Source organism: Homo sapiens, chromosome 3 (assembly GCF_000001405.40).
Source record: "Homo sapiens chromosome 3, GRCh38.p14 Primary Assembly".
In the NCBI taxonomy this organism is placed as follows: domain Eukaryota; kingdom Metazoa; phylum Chordata; class Mammalia; order Primates; family Hominidae; genus Homo; species Homo sapiens.
In genome coordinates, this window is record NC_000003.12 from 197,752,312 (window position 1) to 197,775,779 (window position 23,468).

Here is a 23,468-nt window from a genome sequence, read left to right on the forward strand (position 1 = left end):
ATTTCCCAGTGCCTCATCTGTAGAAAGGTGACAGTAAGTAGTGTTTACCACATAGGGTTGCTGAAAACATTAAATGAGTCAGAAGGCATATGTGAACTGCTTAGAACAGGACCTGGTACACAGCACTGTATTTTTCCACATACACTATATATATGTGTGTATGTCTGTATGTATGCTTTTATTTTTATACATACACTATATGTAGTATGTCTGTATATATGCCTTTATTTTTATACATACACTGTATGTGTGTATGTATATATGGCTTTATTTTTCTACATACACTACATATATGTGTATGTATGTCTATGGCTTGGTTATTTTTATACATACACTATATATATGTGTATGTATATATGGCTTTGTTATTTTTATACATACACTACATATATGTGTGTATGTCTATATATGGCTTGGTTGTTTTTATACATACACTATATATATGTGTGTATGTCTGTATATATGCTTTTGTTATTTGTTGTTATTTCCATTTTACAGAAATCAGAGGCATAGAGAAATTAAGTAACTTGCTCGAAGTCATACAAGGTAGTTAAGTGGTGGTGCCAGGATTTCAGTCTGATTCTAGAGCCTCAAGTTGTTTTACACCTAGATTTCTTACGTTTCTAGGTTTTCTGTTTTCTTTTTTGTATGTGTTTTGTTTGATGATTAGTACGTTCAAGTGAAGAAAACTGAGGGGTAGTTCTCTTGGAGGTAGCAATGAAGTGCTGTGGAGAGCTGAAACAGCTTGATATCTTTCTTTCCCCCAGGAACATACAGCAGTCCCTCTATTGCCTTTCTTTTGGTGAGAATTTTACAGAAATGGGATGAAGAGATCATCCCATTTCTATCCTAGACATCATCTATCCTAGGCAGTTACTATGCTTTGTGAATGTTTAATCTTACCAGGTTTGCAGAGGTTTTTTTGTTTTAAATCATGGCTTTGCCAGGTGTATATGAATTTCACATAGAGTACCAAGTTTACCAATAGCTGGCCTCATGGTTCAATTCCTTAATTTGAAAATCGGTGTTATGGTGATACTTATTTCATAGGATTGTTGTGAATTAAGTGAATACATGTCAGAACTGTTGGTACTAACATTGCTGGTGCCTGTGCTGTAGTACTTACCACCACCACTGCTGCTACTGCTGCTATTACTATTACCATGTATATTCCTCTAGTGCTATGGAAGAAACTTAAAATAGCTCATTGTAAGGAATTTTTTTTTTTTTTTAATTCTGATACCTGTGTATCTATTCATTGGGCAGGAGAAAGCCGTTTTCTTTTTTTAGATTGAAAGAATCCTCTCGGCCATGGTAGCTCATTTGACTTATTTGAAGATATAGGTAGTAAAATGTTGAAATGTGAAATGTAATTTTATATTTAATATGCTCTGCTACTTCTGATTTTTAGTTATATTTAGACTTTATATGCTGTATTTTATTTTATTTATTTATTTATTTTGAGACGGAGTCTTGCTCTGTCGCCCAGGCTGGAGTGCAGTGGCACGATCTCGGCTTCCCAGGTTCACAACATTCTCCTGCCTCAGCCTCCCAAGTAGCTGGGACTACAGGCGCCCACCGCCACACCCGGCTAATTTTTTGTATTTTTTAGTAGACACAGGGTTTCACCATATTAGCCAGGATGGTCTCGATCTCCTGACCTCATGATCCGCCCACTTCGGCCTCCCAAAGTGCTGGGATTACAGGCGTGAGCTACCGCACCCGGCCTATATGCTATATTTTAAGATGAACTTTGTTAGTCAGAATTGTACTTTGCCTCTTTTTTTTAATGCTCCCCAGACAAAATTCATTTTTTTGGTTTACTCTCAAGGCTTGAGATTTTAGACTTTTGATGAAGAGTAAGTAGCACTTTGTGAAAGGAAAGTGGTGTCTCATAAATAGTGTCTTCCTTGGTATTCCCTTTATGCTTATTGAGATACATGTTTATATATCTGATGTTGACCTTTTAATTTTTTACAAAAGTTTTTGAGTGCCCTTAACTTTGATGAACTTTTTCGTAGTTGGACATTAATTTCAAGAAGACAACTAAATATTTTGGGGAGATTTGAGATATTTTGTGTGAATATTTGAGTGTAATTAAGAGTCTTAAAGATTAGAGATTGGTTAGGTAGAACAGTAATATATTACAAAGGACCTTCAAGTTATATTTCCTTCTCTGACTTCTGGAAAGACTAATTATAGTGACAAAAAAATTGAGTTTAATTAGTTTCATAGAGTTTTATTAAGAATTTGTTGACTGTATGCAATTTCTTTGTTTTATTTGCTTTCTCAATTATGAAATAATACTGGAATTAGGACTATGGAGGAAATGTTTGTGGGTTTTTTTTTTTCTTTCTTTTTTTTTTTTTTTGAAAGACAGTCTTGCTCTGTTGCCTAGGCTGGAGTGCAGTGGCGTGATTGTGGCTCACTGCAGCCTTGACCACTTGAGCTCAAGGAATTCTCCCACCTCAGCCTCCTGGGTAGCTGGGACCACGGGCACGCACCACCATGCCTGGCTAATTTTTAAAAATTATTTGTGGAGATGAGGTTTTGCTGTGTTGCCCAGGTTGGTCTCGAACTCTTGGGCTGAAGCATTCTCCCATCTCACCTCTAAAAGTGCTGAGGTTACAGGCATGTGCCCAGCTGGATATTTCTTAAATGAGTATTTTTGGCTTCTAGTAACCTCTTTTAACAGATATAAATGGGAATCTGGAGTACATTTAGTTTTCTGGTCTTCACCTTGTTCTGTTGTGTATTTTTGTTTGTGAATTACCTTGGGGCAGTTTGGAAGTATGTTTGGAAGTAATGAGGCTTAGATCAGTGTAGAAAGAAAAATAAGGTAACTTGAAGTACTTTGCTAGAGGTGAGTCATTAGTATTTTTTGTACTATACCTTTATTATGGCACTTGTTTAATTTTGTATTTGCTATTTGCATGTCTGTTTCCATCAGTACTTTTAAACTTATTTAGAAAAGGGACCGTATTTTACTTTTGTTTCAGTTACAGCACAACCTGACACATATATTTGTTGCATGTAGTATATGCTCAGTAAATATTTGCTGAATTTCAACATTTAGTATTTTAGTTGAATGGTTTAATTTTTGATTACCTATATATTGGAAGGTGGTCATCTTTTTTTACTTTTTCTTTTTTTTTATGGAGTCTCGCTCTGTCACCCAGGCTGGAGTGCAGTGGTGCGATCTTGGCTCACTGCAACCTCTGCCTCCCGAGTTCAACCAATTCTTCTGCCTCAGCCTCCCGAGTAGCTGGGATTACAGGCATGCACCGCCATACCCGGCTAATTTATTTATTTATTTATTTATTTATTTATTTATTTATTTATTTATTTGTATTTTTAGTAGAGACGGGATTTCACCATGTTGGTCAGGCCAGTCCCGAACTCCTGACCTCAAATGATCCGCCCACCTCAGCCTCCCAAAGTGCTGGGATTATAGGTGTGAGTCACCATGCCTGGCCGGAAGGGGGTCATCTTTAAAAAATGGAGCCTTCTGTGATTATGGGAAGTAAGTAGGAAAATGGAGGCTTCTGTGTTTTTGGGAAGTAAGTAGGAAAATGGACGCTTCTGCGATTATGGGAAGTAGGTAGGAAAATGGAGGCTTCTGTGATTATGGGAAGTAGGTAGGAAAATGGAGGCTTCTGTGATTATGGGAAGTAGGTAGGAAAATGGAGGCTTCTGTGATTATGGGAAGTAGGTAGGAAAATGGAGGCTTCTGTGATTATGGGAAGTAGGTAGGAAATTGGAGGCTTCTGTGATTACGGGAAGTAGGTAGGAAATTAGAGGCTTCTGTGATTATGGGAAGTAAGTAGGAAATTGGAGGCTTCTGTGATTATGGGAAGTAAGTAGGAATAACTTGTAAACAGGCTTCTGCTTGATTCATCAGGTAAAGAAATACTATGGCCAATAGCACTCTTCATTAATTGGTAGATCTGCTTTGGGCTATTGTAAAATGGCTGATTCTTGTTATTATCCTCTTATGGAAGTGCTTTCAAAGTAGAAAAGAAGTTAGGAACGTAGGACATCTATCAGCTAGAAAACGAAACTGAGTAATTGAGTTAAGTTAAAATGAAAATAATTGACATTTCCTCTATCATAGATGATATCATCAAGTTGAATCGAAAGGAAGGGAAGAAGCAGAATTTTCCAAGACTAAATAGAAGACTCCTCCAGCAAAGTGGTGCCCAGCAATTCAGGATGAGAGTGCGATGGGGAATCCAACAGAATTCTGGTAAGTTTTGAAAGTAAGCTTTAATGGAAAGCTGTTATTTGTGTGTTCATAGTGTACTGTCTTTAGCATATGCTTAACGTGGAGGAATGCGTCAGTACTCTTTGTGTTTTGTGTTTCCTCTATGCCTAGGTTTTTGTTTAGATCTAAAACCTGGTAAAAATTTCAGTAGCCTTCAATAGACGTAACACTGTCTCTTAAACGTTGTAAGTCATTTAAAAGTAACTTCAGTTTATACACAGTCTAAATTATATTCAGAGTTTAGAATTGCAAAGGATCTTATATATCATGAGCTCCTATCTTCATCCAAGTGAGATGTTCCTTTAACAGTCTGTCTAATGGATGACTAACTCCAGCTTAAATATATTCAGTGAAAGAGCATACTACCTCACAAGCATGAGCCACTGTGCCTGGCCTCTTAATTTGGATTAAAGCATGCCTATCACTTCGGTAAAGTTATAGAAAGCAAATTCTCTTTTGTATATGAGAACTCTTTAAGTATGTGGAGACTACTGTTACATTCTGCATAGAAAATGACCTCCAGACTCCTTATCTTATCATCCAAGAACTTTAGGATTTGTTAAATCTTCCAAAGTTGACACTCAGAAATGAATGCTTTAGATATAATGTGGAACTCTACACATTTAGTTATTTTTGATAATCTGGAAGCTTATTTATAACCATCTTGATTGAAGGCAGTAATTGAACACTAATATATATGGCTTGTTAACTTCTTTATCAGCAATATCAGAATTTTAGAATAAATATTTGTTGAAATAAAAGAACTAAATCTTTTTCAGATATGTAAAAATATGTTTGACAAACTAACTTCCAAATTGATTTTTATTCTATATGTTGAAAAACATAAAAATAATCTCCAGTAGGTTGAACATAATTAGTTCTGTGTTTACAGCTAATATCCCATTATATCCTCAAAATATGTATAACTGAAGCTGAGCACAGTGGCTTATGCCTGTAATCCCAGAACTTTGGGAGGATCAGTTGAATCCAGGAATCTGAGACCAGCTTGGGCAACACAGGGAGACCCTGTCTCCACAAAAAATTTAAAAATTAGCCAGGCGTGGTGGTACCTCTTTCTGGTCCCAGCCACTCAGGAGTTTGAGGTGGGAAGATGGCTTGAGCCTGGGAGATCAAGACCACAGTGAGCCATGATGGCACCACAGCACTCCAGCATGAGACTCTGTCTCAAGAAAAGTACATATAACTGAGATTGGGCCCTTAAAAAAAATTATTCATCTCTAATAATTTTTTGAATAGTTGAACCTAAGGGAGTAAATTTCATGACAGGTATTTAACTGTAGCAAATGAAGTTTAGTTCCAGTGATTTATATTTAAATTTTTTTTTGAGACGGAGTTTTGCTCTTGTTGCCCAGGCTGGAGTGCAAAGGCACGATCTTGGCTCACTGCAGCCTCTGCCTCCCGGGTTCAAGCGATTCTCCTGCCTCAGCCTCCCAAGTAGCTGGGATTACAGGCATGCGCCACCATGCCCAGCTAATTTTGTATTTTTAGGAGAGACAGGGTTTCTCCACGTTGGTCAGGCTGGTCTCGAACTCCCAGCCTCAGGTGATCCACCTGCCTCGGCCTCCTGCCTCAGCCCCACAAAGTGCTGGGATTACAGGCGTGAGCCACTGCGCCTGGCCTAAATATTTCTTATAAATGTTATTGAACATACTATATATTTTTGTATTATTTGTTTTTAAAATAACTGTTGAGAGTTCATAGAACCAGAAATATATTTATTAATTAATGTTTATCAAATATTTAACATGAATATATTTCAGTGTTAAATACTTGATAGATACCCTAAACTGATTGGGTCCTAGGGGGTACATAAAGATGTGGTCTTCTACTTCAAGGAATTAATTTCCGGTGTTAGAGATAAGATGGAAAAGGTAGTGTGGGAGAAATGTTGTAAGAGAAATTCAAATAGTATTATAGGACTTTAGAGATTTTGTACTAAGAAGATCAGGAGTGATTTAATGGATAAGGTGAAATATGATCTGGTCCATGAAGTGTCAGAAAAGCTTTCCTTTTATGGATGTTATGATCTGAGCCTTGAAATAAATGATATCTAGGGGCAGCTTAGGATCTCCTAAGATTGAGCTTGCCCTTGTATGTTTATTGCTTACATGTGACACGGGCTAAAATAGAACAGCTGCCACTGTTACTGAATGTACAGAGATAGAGGATTGTCTTAAACTCTGATTGGCTAGGAAAAAGTTCAGATTTCCACGTTGTAATGTCAATGAGGATGTTAGCTTGAGGTAAGAGAAATAAGTAGGACAGAGGAGCTCTTTGCAGATCCGCGGTATGATTTCTGATGGCTGAACAAGTCAATGAATGAAATCTTTAACTTCGTGTGTGAAAAATAATTTAGGCACTCAGTAAATACTTGGAGAAACAACCCAAATGTTCTTCAGTGGTAGAGCGTATAGAGTTGTTCTTCAGTGGTAGAATGTATAGAGTTGTTCTTCAGTGGTAGAAAGTATAGAGTTGTTCTTCAGTGGTAGAAAGTATAGAGTTGTTCTTCAGTGGTAGAATGTATAGAGTGTTCTTCAGTGGTAGAATGTATAGAGTTGTTCCTCAGTGGTAGAATGTATAGAGTTGTTCCTCAGTGGTAGAATGTATAGAGTGTTCTTCAGTGGTAGAATGTATAGAATTGTTCTTCAGTGGTAGAAAGTATAGAGTTGTTCTTCAGTGGTAGAACATATAGAGTGTTCTTCAGTGGTAGAATGTATAGAATTGTTCTTCAGTGGTAGAATGTATACAGTTGTTCCTCAGTGGTAGAATGTATAGAGTGTTCTTCAGTGGTAGAACGTATAGAGTTGTTCTTCAGTGGTAGAATGTATGGAGTTGTTCTTCAGTGGTAGAATGTATAGAGTGTTCTTCAGTGGTAGAATGTGTGGAGTTGTTCCTCAGTGGTAGAATGTATGGAGTTGTTCCTCAGTGGTAGAACGTATGGAGTTGTTCCTCAGTGGTAGAACGTATAGAGTGTTCTTCAGTGGTAGAGCGTATAGAGTTGTTCTTCAGTGGTAGAACGTATAGAGTTGTTCTTCAGTGGTAGAACGTATAGAGTTGTTCTTCAGTGGTAGAACGTATAGAGTTGTTCCTCAGTGGTAGAACGTATAGAGTTGTTCCTCAGTGGTAGAACGTATAGCGTGTTCTTCAGTGGTAGAACATATAGAGTTGTTCTTCAGTGGTAGAATGTATAGAGTGTTCTTCAGTGGTAGAACGTATAGAGTTGTTCTTCAGTGGTAGAACGTATAGAGTGTTCTTCAGTGGTAGAACGAATAGGGTGTTCTTCAGTGGTAGAATGTATAGGGTGTTCCTCAGTGGTAGAATGTATAGAGTGTTCTTCAGTGGTAGAATGTATAGAGTTGTTCCTCAGTGGTCGAATGTATGGAGTTCTTCAGTGGTAGAACATACGGAGTTGTTCTTCAGTGGTAGAATGTATGGAGTTGTTCTTCCGTGGTAGAACGTATAGAGTTGTTCTTCAGTGGTAGAACGTATAGAATGTTCCTCAGTGGTAGAACGTATAGAATGTTCCTCAGTGGTAGAACTTATAGAGTGTTCCTCTGTGGTAGAACGTATTGAGTTGTTCCTCAGTGGTAGAACATATCGAGTTGTTCCTCAGTGGTAGAACGTATAGAATTGTTCTTCAGTGGTAGAACGTATAGAGTGTTCTTCAGTGGTAGAAGGTACAGAGTTGTTCTTTAGCGGTAGAATGTATGGAGTGTTCTTCAGTGGTAGAATGTATAGAGTTGTTTTTCAGTGGTAGAATGTATAGAGTGTTCTTCAGTGGTAGAATGTATAGAGTTGTTCTTCAGTGGTAGAATGTATAGAGTTGTTCTTCAGGGGTAGAATGTATGAGTTCTTCAGGGGTCTTCACGGGTAGAATGTATAGAGTTCTTCAGGGGTAGAATGTATAGAGTTGTTCTTCAGGGGTAGAATGTATAGAGTTGTTCTTCAGGGGTAGAATTTATAGAGTGTTTTTCAATGGTAGAATATATAGGGTTGTTCTTCTGTGGTAGAATGTATAGAGTTGTTCCTCAGTGGTAGAATGTATACAGTTGTTCTTCAGTGGTAGAACATATAGAGTTGTTCTTCAGTGGTATAATGTATGGAGTTGTTCTTCAGTGGTAGAATGTATAGAGTGTTCTTCAGTGGTAGAATGTGTGGAGTTGTTCCTCAGTGGTAGAATGTATGGAGTTGTTCCTCAGTGGTAGAATGTATAGATTTGTTCCTCAGTGGCAGAATGTGTAGAGTGTTCTTCAGTGGTAGAATGTATAGAATTGTTCTTCAGTGGTAGAATGTATAGAGTTGTTCCTCAGTGGTAGAACTTATGGAGTGTTCTTCAGTGGTAGAATGTATAGAGTGTTCTTCAGTGGTAGAATGTATAGACTTGTTCTTCAGTGGTAGAATGTATAGAGTTGTTCCTCAGTGGTAGAATGTATAGACTTGTTCTTCAGTGGTAGAATGTATAGAGTTGTTCCTCAGTGGTAGAATGTATAGAGTTGTTCTTCAGTGGTAGACTGTATAGAGTGTTCTTCAGTGGTAGAATGTATAGAGTTGTTCTTCAATAGTAGGATGTATAGAGTTGTTTCTCAGTGGTAGAATGTATAGAGTGTTCTTCAGTGGTAGAATGTATATACTTGTTCTTCAGTGGTAGAATGTATAGAGTTGTTCTTCAATAGTAGAATGTATAGAGTTGTTCCTCAGTGGTGGAATGTATAGAGTTGTTCCTCAGTGATAGAGTGTATAGCATGTTCTTCAGTGGTAGAATGTATAGAATTGTTCTTCAGTGGTAGAATGTATAGAATTGTTCTTCAGTGGTAGAATGTATAGAGTTGTTCCTCAGTGGTAGAACGTATAGAGTGTTCTTCAGTGGTAGAATGTATAAAGTGTTCTTCAGTGGTAGAATGTATAGAATTGTTCTTCAGTGGTAGAATGTGTAGAGTTGTTCCTCAGTGGTAGAATGTATAGAGTGTTCTTCAGTGGTAGAATGTATAGAATTGTTCTTCAGTGTTAGAATGTATAGAGTTGTTCTTCAGTGGTGGAATGGTATAGAGTTCTCAAAATGTCGTCAGGTACCCTTGGGGATCCCTAAGACATGGGGGATCCACAAGATCAAAACTAATTTCATGTTAGTACTAAGGCGTTAATTGTATTTTGACTCTTACTCTCTCAGGAATGTACAGTAGCCTTTTCCAGAGTCTACATGATGTCTGATAATTAAAGTAGATTGAATGCAAAAGCAGGATCTTAGTTCAGTGGGCTGTAACAAAGTACCATAGACTAGGTAGCTTATAAACAACAGAAGTTTATTTTGCACAGTTTTGGAGATTAGCAGTTCAAGGTCAGGATGTCAGCAAGGTCAGGTTCTGGTGAGAGTTCTCTTCCAGGTTGCAGACTTTGGACTTCTTTTGATGTCCTTGTGTGGCAGAAAGAAGGCTAGAGAGCTCTCCAGGGTCACTTTTGTAAGGACACTAATCCCATTCATGGTGGCTCCATCCTCATGACTTTACCTCCCAAAGCCCTCTCCTGTTAATACCATCACATTAAGTGTTAGTATTTCAACATGTGAATTTTGGAGAGTTACAAACATTCAGTCCTTAACAAGCAGTTGTGAGAATCTAGTTGTCTTCTATTAAGGCAGACACCAAAGAGATCCAAAAACAATATACCACTGTTCTTACTAAATATTTTTATTTGTTTTGGAAAATAAAAATAATGAGGCCAGGCGCGGTGCTCACGCCTGTAATCCCAGCACTTTGGGAGGCCGAGACAGGCAGATCACAAGGTCAGGAGTTCGAGAGCAGCCTGGCCAATATGGTGAAAGCTTGTCTCTACTAAAAATATAAAAATTAGCCGGGCATGGTGGCGGGCACCTGTAGTCCCAGCTACTCGGGAGGCTGAGGCAGGAGAATCGCTTGAACCTGGGAGGTGGAGATTGTAGTGAGCCGAGATCGCGTCACTGCACTCCACCCTGGGTGACAGAGCGAGACTCTGTCTCAAACATAAAAAAGGCCGGGCGCGGTGGCTCATGCCTGTAATCCCAGCACTTTGGGAGGCCGAGGCAGGCAGATCATGAGATCGGGAGATCGAGACCGTCCTGGCTAACACAGTGAAACCCTGTCTCTACTAAAAATACAAAAAATTAGCTGGGCGTGGTAGCGGGCACCTGTAGTCCCAGCTGCTCAGGAGGCTGAGGCAGGAGAAAGGTGTGAACCTGGCAGGCGGAGCTTGCAGTGAGCCGAGATCGCGGCCACTGCACTCCAGCCTGGGCGACAGAGTGAGACTCCGTCTCCAAAAAAAAAACTAGTGGATACTAGGCTTAATACCTCAGCGATGGAATAATCTGTACAGCAAACCCCCGTGATACATGTTTACCTGTGTAACAAACCTGCACATCCTGCACGTGTACCCCAACCTTAAAATAAAAGTTAAAATTTGTTCTTTTTCATTTAAAAAGAGATGTTTACCCTATGTGTAATGAGTTTATTATTATTTTTTAAGTGAAATGGTTTTTAACTATCTTACTAATAGTTTTTATTTTGGCCGGGCGTGGTGGCTCACCCAGGTAATCCCAGCACTTTGGGAGCCCGAGGTGGGTGGATCACCTGAGGTCAGGAGTTTGAGACCAGCCTGGCCAACATGGCAAAACCCTATCTCTACTAAAAATACAACAATTAGCCGGGTGTGGTGGCACATAGCTGTAATCCCAGCTCCTCGGGAGCCTGAGGCAGGAGAATCGCTTGAACTGGGGAGGCGGAGGTTGCGGTGAGCCGAGATCGCACCATTGCACTCCAGCCTGGGCGACAGAGTGAGACTCTTGTCTCAAAAAAAAAAAAAAAAGTTTTTATTTTAATTGCAGTAAATATAACCCACAGACACAAAAACTTTGGAGTCCTCAATTGTTAAGCATATGAAGAGGTTCGTGCTTGTAATCCCAGCACTTTGGGAGGTGAGAGCAAGAGGATTGCTTAAGCCAAGGACTTCAGGACCAGCGTGGGCAACATAGGGAGACCCCGTCTCTACAAAAAAAAAGAAAGAGTATAAAGAGGTACTGAGACTAAAAAGTTTGAGAATGCTGTTCTTACTAGAGGTAGAAGAGTTGGGAATATTTGTATGTTGCTTTGGAAAGGAGCCAATAATATGATTACATATACTGTAGAATGTGACATTTCCCAGAAAATCCCTCAAATCTTTATTTAGATGATAAGGCTCCTGAAATTATTGGGACATATGATGTATGTGGAAAGAAATTCATGAATAGATTAGTCTTGGGATTCAAGAGAAAGATGAAAATGTCTTTCTCTAGTTTCAGCTGTTGTCAACCTTAGTTGCACCTGCGGAGCTTTGTGAACTAGACGCTCTGGCGGTACTTTATTTCTACTGAACCAGGACCTGTAGAGGTAGGGCTTGGAGGATTTTTTTTAAGCTCCATGGATGATTCTGATACCTAACTGGTTTTAAACTACTGCTCTGGTGGAGCTGAAAATGTAAAAGGGTCTTCATAAAGGGTGGTAGTTGAAGTACATGGAGAATGTGGGTACTCTGGAACTCTGCAGAGAGGCTCAATGAATGAAAACTAAGAAAAGACTGTTGCATTGGATGAAGTCTTTAGTACCCCTTCATAGTGCTTTTTAGAATGTAAGACAGTTACAGAGCATAAGAGGGAAGGGGAGATAATTGGGGCAGTATGTATACATTTTTCTTACTTTATGTAATGTGACAATGAAAGGGTAAAGAATATAATCATTGCTAAAACAGATACAGCTAATGAAGTTTGTTCAAAGGTAGAAAGGTGGGAGAACGAATCATATAGGCCTGATTAGAAAGCAGAGGAGGAGGCGGGGCCAAGTGGCTCACGCCAGTAATCCCAGCACTTTGGGAGGCCGAGGTGGGCAGATTACGAGGTCAGGAGTTCAAGACCAGCCTGGCCAACATAGTGAAACCCCATCTCTACTAAAAATGCAAAAAATTAGCTGGGCATGGTGGTGGGCGCCTGTAGTCCCAGCTACTCAGGAGGCTGAGGCAGGAGAATGGTGTGAACCCGGGAGGCGGAGCTTGCAGTGAGCCGAGATCGCGCCGCTACACTCCAGCCCGGGTGACAGAGCGAGAGTCCGTCCCAAAAAAAAAAAAAAAAGCAGAGGAGGCAACACCTTGGATAAGAGAAAAAAAAAACAGCAGAAAGATTGATAAGTATGGGACCAATGTACTGTACTATCAATAGAAATAGAAAGCGCCAAGGGATGGAGTTCTATTCCATACTTTTTTTTTTTGGGGGGGGAGGATGGAGTCTTGCCCTGTCACCCAGGCTGGAGTGTGGTAGTGCGATCTTGGCTCGTTGCAACCTCCGCCTCCCAGGTCAAGCGATTCTCATGCCTCAGCCTCCCCAGTAGCTGGGATTACAGGTGTGCACCACCACGCCTGGTGGCTAATTTTTATATTTTTAGTAGAGACGAGGTTTCACCATGTTGGTCAGGCTGGTCTCGAACTCCTGACCTCAAATGATCCACCCGCCTCAGCCTCACTAAATGTTGGAATTACAGGCGTGAGCCACGGTACCCAACCTTATTTCATACTTAAGATCTTGTTTTAATCCATTTGATTCCTATTTATGAGAGTTTCTTGTCAGTCTTTCTCATCTAGTCCTGAAATTTTGGTATAATAATGGGTTCGTCCTCCTTTTAATCGTTTCTTTTTTGCCCTACAAACTCACTTATTCTTTTGGAATATTTTCCAGTTTCTTCCTTTCTCAAGGAAGATTGTTAGCATCAGTCTTATCAGATTATCATACAAATTATAGTACTCAGCACAGTGCCTAGCACAGTGAAGGGTAGCTGTTACATTATTTAACACAAATAGCAAGTCATTGTATATTGGAATTAATTTTAATGTACAGTTTTTCCCAATATGGTTTAATCTTCATCTAGTTGCAATTTTAGAAGGAAACCACACATAGGGCAGCAATAATTTGATTTAAAAACTAAAGACTTTAAGCCAGCCGTGGTGGCTCACGCCTGTAACCCCAGCACTTTGGGAAGTTGAGGCAGGCAGATCACCTGAGGTCAGGAGTTTGAGACCAGCCTGGCCAACATGGTGAAACCCTGTCTGTACTAAAAATACAAAAATAGTCCGGGCGCAGTGGCTCACACCTGTAATCCAAGCACTCTCGGAGGCTGAGGCGGGCGGATCACAAGGTCAGGAGATCAAGACTATCCTGGCTAACACAGCGAAACCCTGTCTCTACTAAAAATATAAAAAATTAGCCGGGCATCGTATTGGGCACCTGTAGTACCAGCTACTTGGGAGACTGAGGCAGGAGAATGGCATGAACCTGGGAGGCGGAGGTTGCATTGAGCCGAGATCACACCACTGCACTCCAGCCTGGGCAACAGAGCAAGACTCTGTCTCAAAAAAATATGTATATGTATAACTGGGTGTGGTGGCAGGCACCTGTAATCCCAGCTACTCGGGAGGCTGAGGCAGGAGAATTCTTTGAACCCAGGAGGTGGAGGTTGCAGTGAGCTGAGATCATGCCATTGCACTCCAGCCTGGGCAACAGAGCGAGACTCTGTCTCAAAAAAAAAAAAAAAAAGAGTTTGCTTTACTGTTTAACCTAGCATTTCACCTTCTAGAAACTCACATCTTCAGAAAATAATCATGGATGTGTTTAAAAATATATCTGTGGTTCTATTGTGATATTATTTATAATTAGAACTAACTGAAATGATTAGTATAAAGTTGGTTTGGATCAAGTATGGCATATTAAAAAGTAATGCGATAAAAGGATGTCAAAAACATGGGATAATATTTTTGCAATATAGGTGTGTGTCGTGTTTGAGACTGGTGTGTGTGTGTGTGTGTGTGTGTGTGTGTTTGAGACAGGGTCTTGCTCTGTCACCCCAGCCTGGAGTACAGTGTGATCTTGGCTCACTGTAACCTCTGCTTCCCAGGCTCAAATGATCCTCCTGCCTCAGCCTCCCTATTATCTGGGACTACAGGTACGCGCCACTGCACCTGGCTAATTTTTGTATTTTTTCTAGAGATGGGGTGTCGCCATGTTGCCCAGGCTGGTCTCGAACTCCTGGGCTCAAGCAATCCATCCTTCTCAGTCTCCCAAAGTGCTGGGATTATAGGCATCAGCCACCATGCCCAGCCTGCAGTACAGGATTAGTGTAGGGCTACAAAATAGTATGTAGAGTTGTGTAGTTGCCGAAAGATTGACTCAGTTCACCTTCTACTATAAAATTGAGGCACTACTATAAAATTGAGAATTACTACAGATGATAGTCTTGAGTTGCTTAAAAATAGTTAAAACCAAAAATGTTAACTTTTAAAATATATGTATACAAGTAAAAGAAAGACTAGAAAGACAGAATGTCAGTGGTCATCTCTAGGTGGTAGGCTGATGGGTGATGTTTATTTTCTTATTTGTACTTTATGTGTTTCTAGGAATTCTGCAGTGAACATGTCTATTTTTTAATTTACCCCCTTTTTTTTTTTAACGGGCAGCCCCTGAACCAGAATAGGTTCAGAGACACTCCCAATTTATTTTTTATTTATTTACTTTTTTTGAGACGGAGTCTCGCTCTTCGCCCAGGCTGAAGTGCAGTGGCACGATCTCGGCTCACTGCAAGCTCCGCCTCCCAGTTCACGCCATTCTCCTGCCTCAGCCTCCCGAGTAGCTGGGACTACAGGCACCCGCCACCACGCCTGGCTAATTTTTTGTATTTTTAGTACAGATGGGGTTTCACTGTGTTTGCCAGGATGGTCTCGATCTCCTGACCTTGTGATCCACCTGCCTCGGCCTTCCAGAGTGCTGGGATTACAGGTGTGAGCCACTGCACCTGGCTGCTATTTTTTTTTTTTTAACTAGAAAAAAGTATTTACTTATTTATTTATATATTTATTTATTTTTTAATCTATTTATTTTTTGGAGACAGGGTCTCACTCTGTTGCAGCCTAGAACTCCTGGGCTCAAGCAATCCTCTCACCCCAGCCTCCTGAGTAGCTGGGACTACAGGCATGTGCTACTATGCCCAACTAATTTTTAGAGGCGAGGCCTCACTATGTTGCCCAGGCTGGTCTTAAACTCCTGAGCTCAAGGGATCTTCTTCCCTTGGCCTCCCAAGTGCCGGGATTACAGGCGTGAGCCACTGTGCCCAGCCTTAAAAAAGTATTTAAATAGGTAAGATATGTAATGGAAAACCAAAGTTGGTAATGTCACATGCCACAGATTAAAATGTGTCTATTGGCACTCACTGGCAACTTTAGCAAAAGCAATTTGAATGGAGTAGGGTTGAAAATGAAGCCAGATTGCAGTGTGCTGTCATAAGTAAATTGGAGATGAGATAGTGATTCCACTCTAGATCAGCACTGTTCAATAAAGATTGAGCACATATGAATATATTTTACTTAGCCCAATATCTTTAAAATATTTCACTATATAATTTATATAAAATCATCAGTGAAATATTTTACCTTGAAATACCTCGATTCAGACTAGTGCTTAACTTCAAGTACTCAGTAGCCACATATGGTTAGTATCTACCATAATGCACAGGTAAAGACTCGACAGACTGTCCTGTTTGTTGAGAAACTAATGACAAAAGAGTATGGCCAGAGGCAACATGTGAGAATCCTCTAGTTATTTAGAGTCCAGTATAGCCACAGAACCCTTCCCAATGCAGCAGATTGCCTTTTTAAAATGAAGTATTTTATGTAATTTAAAAAACATAAATAATAACATAATAAATGTTCATAAGTTCCCCCTTCCTTGGGAAATAGAATATCCTGTGACCGTCCCAATTGAATTGTTAAATTGACATTTTCTTCTGTTTTTGCCCTCCTATAGGTTTTGGTAAGACTAGTCTGAATCGTAGAGGAAGAGTAATGCCTGGAAAGAGACGTCCTAATGGAGTTATCACTGGCCTTGCAGCTAGGAAAACGACTGGAATTCGAAAAGGAATTAGTCCTATGAATCGTCCACCTCTAAGTGACAAGGTAGGATGATGGCTTAATCCTGGATTAGATATCCTTTTCCTTTATTTGTACTAACATTTCTGTGAATAAGCTTAAGAGAGAATTTTATTTGTTTTTATGTAGTACTTTGGGACTGATATAAAAAAATTTAATATCTAAATAAAAATCATTGCCATTCATAAAGAATACCTAAATTTCCACATTCTCAAATATAAGTAAGTTGTTTGTTTGTTTTTGTTTTTTATATATAGAGTCTTGCTCTGTTACCCAGGCTGGAGTGCAGTGATGTGATCTTGGCTCACTGCAATGTCCACCTCCCAGGTTCAAGCAGTTCTCCTGCCTCAGCCTCCCGAGTAGCTGGGATTACAGGTGTGTGCCACCACTCCCAGCTAATTTTCATGTTGGCCAGGCTGGTCTCGAACTCCTGACCTCAAGTGATCTGCCCACCTTGGCCTCCCAAAGTGCTGGTATTACAGGCGTGAGCCACCGTGCCTGGCCGAAAATGAAGAGTTTTTTTGTTTGTTTGTTTTTGTTTTTTCAAGACAGAGTCTTGCTCTGTCGCCCAGGCTGGAGTGCAGTGGTGCAATCTCGGCTCACTGCAACCTCCACCTCCTGGTTTCAAGCAATTCTTCTGCCTCAGCCTCCCTAGTAGCTGGGACTACAGGTGCGTGCCACCATGCCTGGCTAATTTTTGTATTTTTAGTAGAGACGGGGTTTCACCATGCTGGCCAGGCTGGTCTCGAACTCCTGACCTCATGATCCATCCGCCTCACCCTCCCAAAGTGTGGGGATTAAAGGCGTAAGCCACGGTGCCTGGCCAGATTCAGAATTTTTAATGTGATTTAGTCAATGGATATTTATAAAGTACTTCTCATATACTTAATAGAAGAATCCAGATAAAGTATAAGATAAGGTGCATATTTGTCAAGAACTTTAGAGAAGTCTTTATGGACAATATGGATATCTGATTAGGCTTTAATGATGGATTTAATTTATGCATGTGGAGGAAGAAAAAGAGGATGTCTCATGTGCTTTTGTTTTTTATGATACTTTTCGCCTCTAACCACGTCTACTCCAGCGTCTTTGCTGTCATAACTTCCCCACTTTTTCTTTTTTTTTGGCATGCATTTGTTTTGGAACTTGGCTTTTTTAAATCTATTAGTATCAAAAATCATGTTTATAGAAATTATTCCCTGATTTATATCTATGGCTCTCTGATTCTTCTCTTGAGTTCCAGAGCCGCGATTCCCCATCACCTGTGGGTCCCCTGAGCACCTCACATATTTTAAATATCTCTGGCTCTCTGATTCTCTTGAGTTCCAGAGCCACGATTCCCCATCACCTGTGGGTCCCCCGAGTACCTCACATATTTTAAATATAATGTGGGGTTTTCATCTTTTCAGTCATGTAGACTGTACAGTTTCAAGTTGTTTGTTTCTCCGTCTCCCTTATCTGCACATTCAAGCAGTTGTCAATCCTTGTTCATTCTGCATCTGAAATGTTTATTGTAGTAGAGTATATAGAAAAATGCAATTTGATTAACATAATTTCTTGCCTTCTGATAGAATATAGAACAATATTTTCCAGTGTTAAAAAGGAAGGCAAACCTTCTGAGACAAAATGAAGGGCAGAGGAAACCAGTAGCAGTTCTCAAGAGACCTAGCCAGCTAAGCAGAAAGTAAGTGCTCAAAAATAATAATGTGTTATTTTGCATTAAAAACACTTCCTGCATTAAGTGGTGTGAAGAATGGATTTGCAGTGATTTTTTTAGTTATCTGGTCATTTTCAAGACAGATATTTGGGATGTCTATCTGAACATCCACATGGATGTATCCAGTAATAGCTTGTTTATTAGATGAATTCTTACTGATGAAGTTAACCGATATAAGCTTTTTAAAAAGCATCACTCTGCTTCTTTACCTCTTTGACATATGGAATAAAATTGCAAAAGCTGATCACTTTAGTAGAACTCTCTTTTTTTTCTCCCTGTTTTTTGAGACAGGGCTTCTCGATCTGTTGCTGAGGCTGGAGTGCAGTGGCGCCATCACTGCTCCCTGGAGCCTTGGCCTGCCCTGGGCTCAAGCGATCCTCCCACATCAGCCTCCTGAGTAGCTGGGACTGCAGATACATGCCACCATGCCCTGCTAATTTTTTTTTTTTTTTAATAGAGACAGGGTCTCACCATGTTGTCCAGGCTGGTCTCAATTCCTGGCCTCAAGTGATCCTCCCACCTCAGCCTCCTAAAGTGCTGGGATTACGGGCATGCGCCCCTGTGCCCAGCCCTGGTAGAACTCTTAACATCTTAGTGGGAATTATTCAAAATTGAGAATTCTGAAATCTCAATTTGTTACTCAGTCTGGATGGCTCTTACTAGAACACTGAATCACAATGTATGTTATTTGTGGAAAAATCAAACTAGAAAGGGAGAATTCTTCATGAACACTTGTTAAACTGAAATTATTTTTATACTAAATTGAATAATAAAAACCAAAAATTATGGCCTGTGAGCTGGGTGCAGTGGCATGTGCCTGTGGTCCCAGCTACTTACGAGGCTGAGGCAGGAGGATCACATGAGCCCAGGATTCAGGGCTAACCTGCTGGGCAACATAGTGAGACCCCCATCTCTGAAAAAGAAAGAAAAGAAAAATTATGATCTGTTGTTATGGCATTCTGTTCTCTGTAAGGACAAAGTAGATGAAGTTGATGAGGTGTGAAGTTTCCTTATTCAGTTTCAAGTATTATTTATTTATCTTTCGTGGAAGATAAGTCAGCAAAAAAAACCTGGAATGAGGTTTTTAAAAAATGCAGTGGCTGGGCACAGTGGCTCATGCCTGTATTCCCAGCACTTTGGGGGGCTAAAGCAGGCAGATCACCTGAGGTCAGGAGTTATGTGGCAAAACCCCATCTCTACTGAAAATGCAAAAATTAGGCCGGGTGCGGTGGCTCACGCCTGTAATCCCAGCACTTTGGGAGGCCGAGGCGGGCGGATCACGAGGTCAGGAGATCGAGACCATCCCGGCTAAAAACGGTGAAACCCCGTCTCTACTAAAAATACAAAAAATTAGCCGGGCGTGGTGGCGGGCGCCTGTAGTCCCAGCTACTTGGGAGGCTGAGGCAGGAGAATGGCGTGAACCCGGGAGGCGGAGCTTGCAGTGAGCCGAGATCCCGCCACTGCACTCCAGCCTGGGCGACAGAGCGAGACTCCGTCTCAAAAAAAAAAAAAAAAAAAAATGCAAAAATTAGCCCGATGTGGTGACCGGTGCATGCCAGCAATCCCAGCACTTTGGGAGGCCGCTGCGTGTGGATCACCTGAGGCCAGGAGTTCGAGACCAGCCTGGCCAACATGGTGAAACCCCATCTCTACTAAAAATACAAAAATTAGCTGGACGTGGTGGTTCATGCCTGTAGTTCCAGCTATTTGGGAGGCTGAGGCAGGAGAATCGCTTAAACCTGGGGGGCGGAAGTTGCAGTGAGTCAAGATGGTGCCACTGCACTCCAGCCTGGGTGACAGTGAGACTCTGTCTCAAAAAAATAAAAATAAAAAAACAAAAAATGGAATGGCTGGAATTGCAGTTTTAACCATCATCTTTTGGGAATCACTTGATAGTACCTTTTGTGAAAGGGGACCTTCTCAAATAAGAACCCATCATTTACGTGAGACTTACATGTTAATTGGGTTAGCTAGGGCAGTTTTGAACTTGAATCTCTGAAAGATTGGAGGTAAGACTAGGGAATCTGTTAAACACTCGTTTATATAGTGTTTCATATTTATCAATACATCAGTTGAAGACATGGAATGTTAGAGGATTGAATATTTCATAGATAAATATGAAATTTTAATTTTTCGTACTTCACTAACTTCCTATAGAAAACAAAAGAAATTAGGTGCCGCAAACCACCATGGCACATGTATAGCTACATAAGAAACTTGCACGTTCAGCACGTGTCTCAGAACTTAAAATTAAAAAAAAGAATTGGTGACAGTCATAATTAAGAGCATTGTTCTGTGCATGAAAGAACAAGAAATAGAAGAGTATAAGTTTTTCTGTGGTTTGTATATTTTTTGAGATGAAGTCTGTGTCGCTGGGCTGGAGTGCAGTGGCGTGATCTCGGCCCACAGCAACCTCTGCTTCCCTGATTGAAGCAATTCTCATGCTTCAGCCTCCTGAGTAGCTGGGACTACAGGCGTGTGCCACCAAGGCTGGCTAATTTTTGTGTTTTTAGTAGAGACGGGGTTTTACCATGTTACCCAGGCTGGTCTCAAACTCCTGACCTCAAGTGATCCACTCACCTCAACCTCCCAAAGTGCTGGGATTACAGGTGTGAGCCATAATGCCTGGCCTCTATGGTTTATGTTAATACATAATGGTTTCTGAGTGAGGAAGGAAGAGAAAGCTGGAGGAGGAGATGTTATTTTTCAAACCTTTCTCTTTATTTTTGGTCTTCAGTTTATTTTACGTCTTCAGTTTGGCCTATGTGTGGTTTTTCTTTGTACTAATCCTATAAATTGTAAAGTTATGTTTTCACCAAATATAGGAAATAGCACTAAAAATGTGATTATTAATGTCTTCAGAAGATATATGGGATATTAGAGGATTGAATATTTGGAAGATAAAGTGGTTTGAAATTAACACGTGGTTATGTGCTATGCTTCGGAGGGAGGTATTTGTTAATCAAATCTCAGTAGCTTCATGTTAATAAGCAAATAATTCAGAGTTGTTTGTTTCTTGCACCTCATGTTTGCAGCCTATGAATTTAACTATTTTTGCTTATTTTTCCTCAAGATGTTTGAAAGTAGTTAAATGGCTTAGCATGGCCTATGTGTTTTTGTTGCAGAAATAACATTCCAGCTAATTTTACCAGGAGTGGAAATAAATTAAATCATCAGAAAGATACTCGTCAGGCAACTTTTCTTTTCAGAAGAGGCCTGAAGGTATTTAAAAACTTTGGCAGTGTTTTTGTTTGTTTGTTTGTTTTTTCCCAAAGAGGATCCTGAGCAGCCACCTTTAGTAAGCCTCAGTCATAGGCAGCATTGGGTTCAGGATGTGAGGCACGTGGTAGTAGATTAGTTCTTCCTGTTGTATGTTTTTTATTTCCCATCTTTTCTTACCCTCAATAGCAATGTCTTATAAGAATTTAACTCGTTATTTGGGAATAAACCTGTATTTGCCACTCGTTCTCATGTAGGAATTCCAACAGGGAACTGTTGCCAGAATAGCGTGGGCCCCTCTGCTGCACTCACGCACACACCCCACTGGGTTAGGAAGTTCTAGAATAGCACGGGCCCCTCCGCTGCACTCACGCACACGCCCCACTGGGTTAGGAAGTTCTAGAATAGCGCGGGCCCCTCCGCAGCACTCACGCACACGCCCCACTGGGTTAGGAATTTCTAGAATAGCGCGGGCCCCTCCGCTGCACTCACGCACACGCCCCACTGGGTTAGGAAGTTGTAGAATAGCGCAGGCACCTCCGCTGCACTCATGTACACGCACCACTGGGTTAGGAAGTTCCAGAGCAGGATCGCTCTTTGGATTCAAATCCTCTGCTTTCTGTGGTACCTACTGCTTTTTTTTTCCCTTCAGGTGCAGGCCCAGTTGAATACAGAACAACTGCTAGACGATGTAGTAGCAAAGAGAACTCGTCAGTAAGTTTCCATTTGTTTTTTAAGATGTTATTTCAAAACTCCCAGAATACTAACTACCCAAATTATCATGTACCTCAGTCCAGAAGAAATTAATTGAAACCCAAAATAAAATTCAGTCTGAAAGCTGGGCATAGTGGTGCTACACACCTGTAATCCCAGCTAGTTGGGAGACTGAAGCAAGAGAATTGATGGAGCCCAAGAGTTCAAGGCTGTGAAGTGCCATAATGTCACCTGTGTATCGCCACTGCACACCAGCCTGAGCAGCATAGCTCGATGCCACTGCACACCAGCCTGAGCAGCATAACTTGATTGCCACTGCACACCAGCCTGAGCAGCATAGCTCGATGACCAGTGCACACCATCCTGAGCAGCATAGCTCGATGACCAGTGCACACCAGCCTGAGCAGCATAGCTCGATGACCAGTGCACACCATCCTGAGCAGCATAGCTCGATCGCCAGTGCATACCATCCTGAGCAGCATAGCTCGATCGCCAGTGCACACCAGCCTGAGCAGCATAGCTCGATCGCCAGTGCACACCAGCCTGAGCAGCATAGCTCGATGGCCAGTGCACACCATCCTGAGCAGCATAGCTCGATCGCCAGTGCATACCATCCTGAGCAGCATAGCTCGATGGCCAGTGCACACCAGCCTGAGCAGCATAGCTCGGGCTATGGAGACTGTCTCCAAAAAAATTTTTAAACATTGAGGCTAAAATAAATAAATCTTGTTTTGTCCTTTGTTAATTTTCCCCAAAAACCTTTTGAGTTTTCATGTGTCGATATTGTAACAGTTTTAGTGCCACGTAGATTACTTCATTTTTATTATTTTTATTTTTTATTGGCTATACCATTTTAATGAAACAGCTTTTTCTTTTTCTTTTTTTTGCTATAACTGCTTTCATACAAATGAACCTATTTAGGGAATGAATAGAATAAAATTCAGTGGAGCTTTTAGAACATTTGTACAACTTTAAAAACAATAGTTTTCCTTTTCACAGTCTTTTTTTCTTAGCCCTATAAAAAATCTTTTGAAAACCTATTTTATCCTGTTATAATCACACCTCCTAAGTGTGAGTTGTAACATACTAATTCCATCAGTGTGATTAGGTTTTGAGATTAAACTATTTAAAATTATGACTACTTTTTGGAAAATAAAATATATACACTTGGCCCTCTGTGTCTCAAGGGAATTGTTGCCAGGCCCATTGAAGAGATTAAAATCCTCAGATACTCAAGTCCCTTTCAGTCGGCCCTCCATATCCGCGGATTGTCTCTGTGTCTCAGGGGAATTGGTTCCAGGCCCACTGAAGAGATTAAAATCCTCAGATACTCAAGTCCCTTACAATCGGCCCTCCATATCCGTGGATTGTTTTCATTCTGCGGTTGCAACTGATTGAATACATGGACGTAGAACCTGTGGATACAGAGAGCTGGCTGTAAAACATGGTCAGGGCCCAGATATGGTGCCAACTGTGGTGCATGATTTTTAGCAATTGGAGTGTTAGGAAACTGTGAAACTGATACAGGTGGTATTCTTTAGCACAGGGGTCATGACATTAGAAACCATG

General features: G+C 40.7%; 1 protein-coding gene across 3 annotated transcripts in view; it reads left to right on the plus strand.

Moving 5' to 3' along the window:
• The window catches only part of FYTTD1 (forty-two-three domain containing 1), a 38,064-nt gene that overhangs the window by 2,779 nt on the left and 11,817 nt on the right, over positions 1-23,468 (plus strand). For 2 of the 3 annotated variants that reach the window (NR_027840.2, NM_032288.7), the window contains exons 2-6: positions 4,115-4,246; positions 16,128-16,276; positions 17,821-17,933; positions 21,092-21,188; positions 21,838-21,899. Coding sequence is in view for 2 of the 3 variants with exons in the window: in NM_032288.7 (NP_115664.2) it covers positions 4,115-4,246; positions 16,128-16,276; positions 17,821-17,933; positions 21,092-21,188; positions 21,838-21,899 (553 nt within the window). In the remaining variant the exon portion in view is untranslated. Of the gene's footprint in view, positions 1-3,358; positions 3,524-4,114; positions 4,247-16,127; positions 16,277-17,820; positions 17,934-21,091; positions 21,189-21,837; positions 21,900-23,468 lie in introns of all 3 variants that reach the window. The other variant, NM_001011537.3, reaches the window with a different exon arrangement.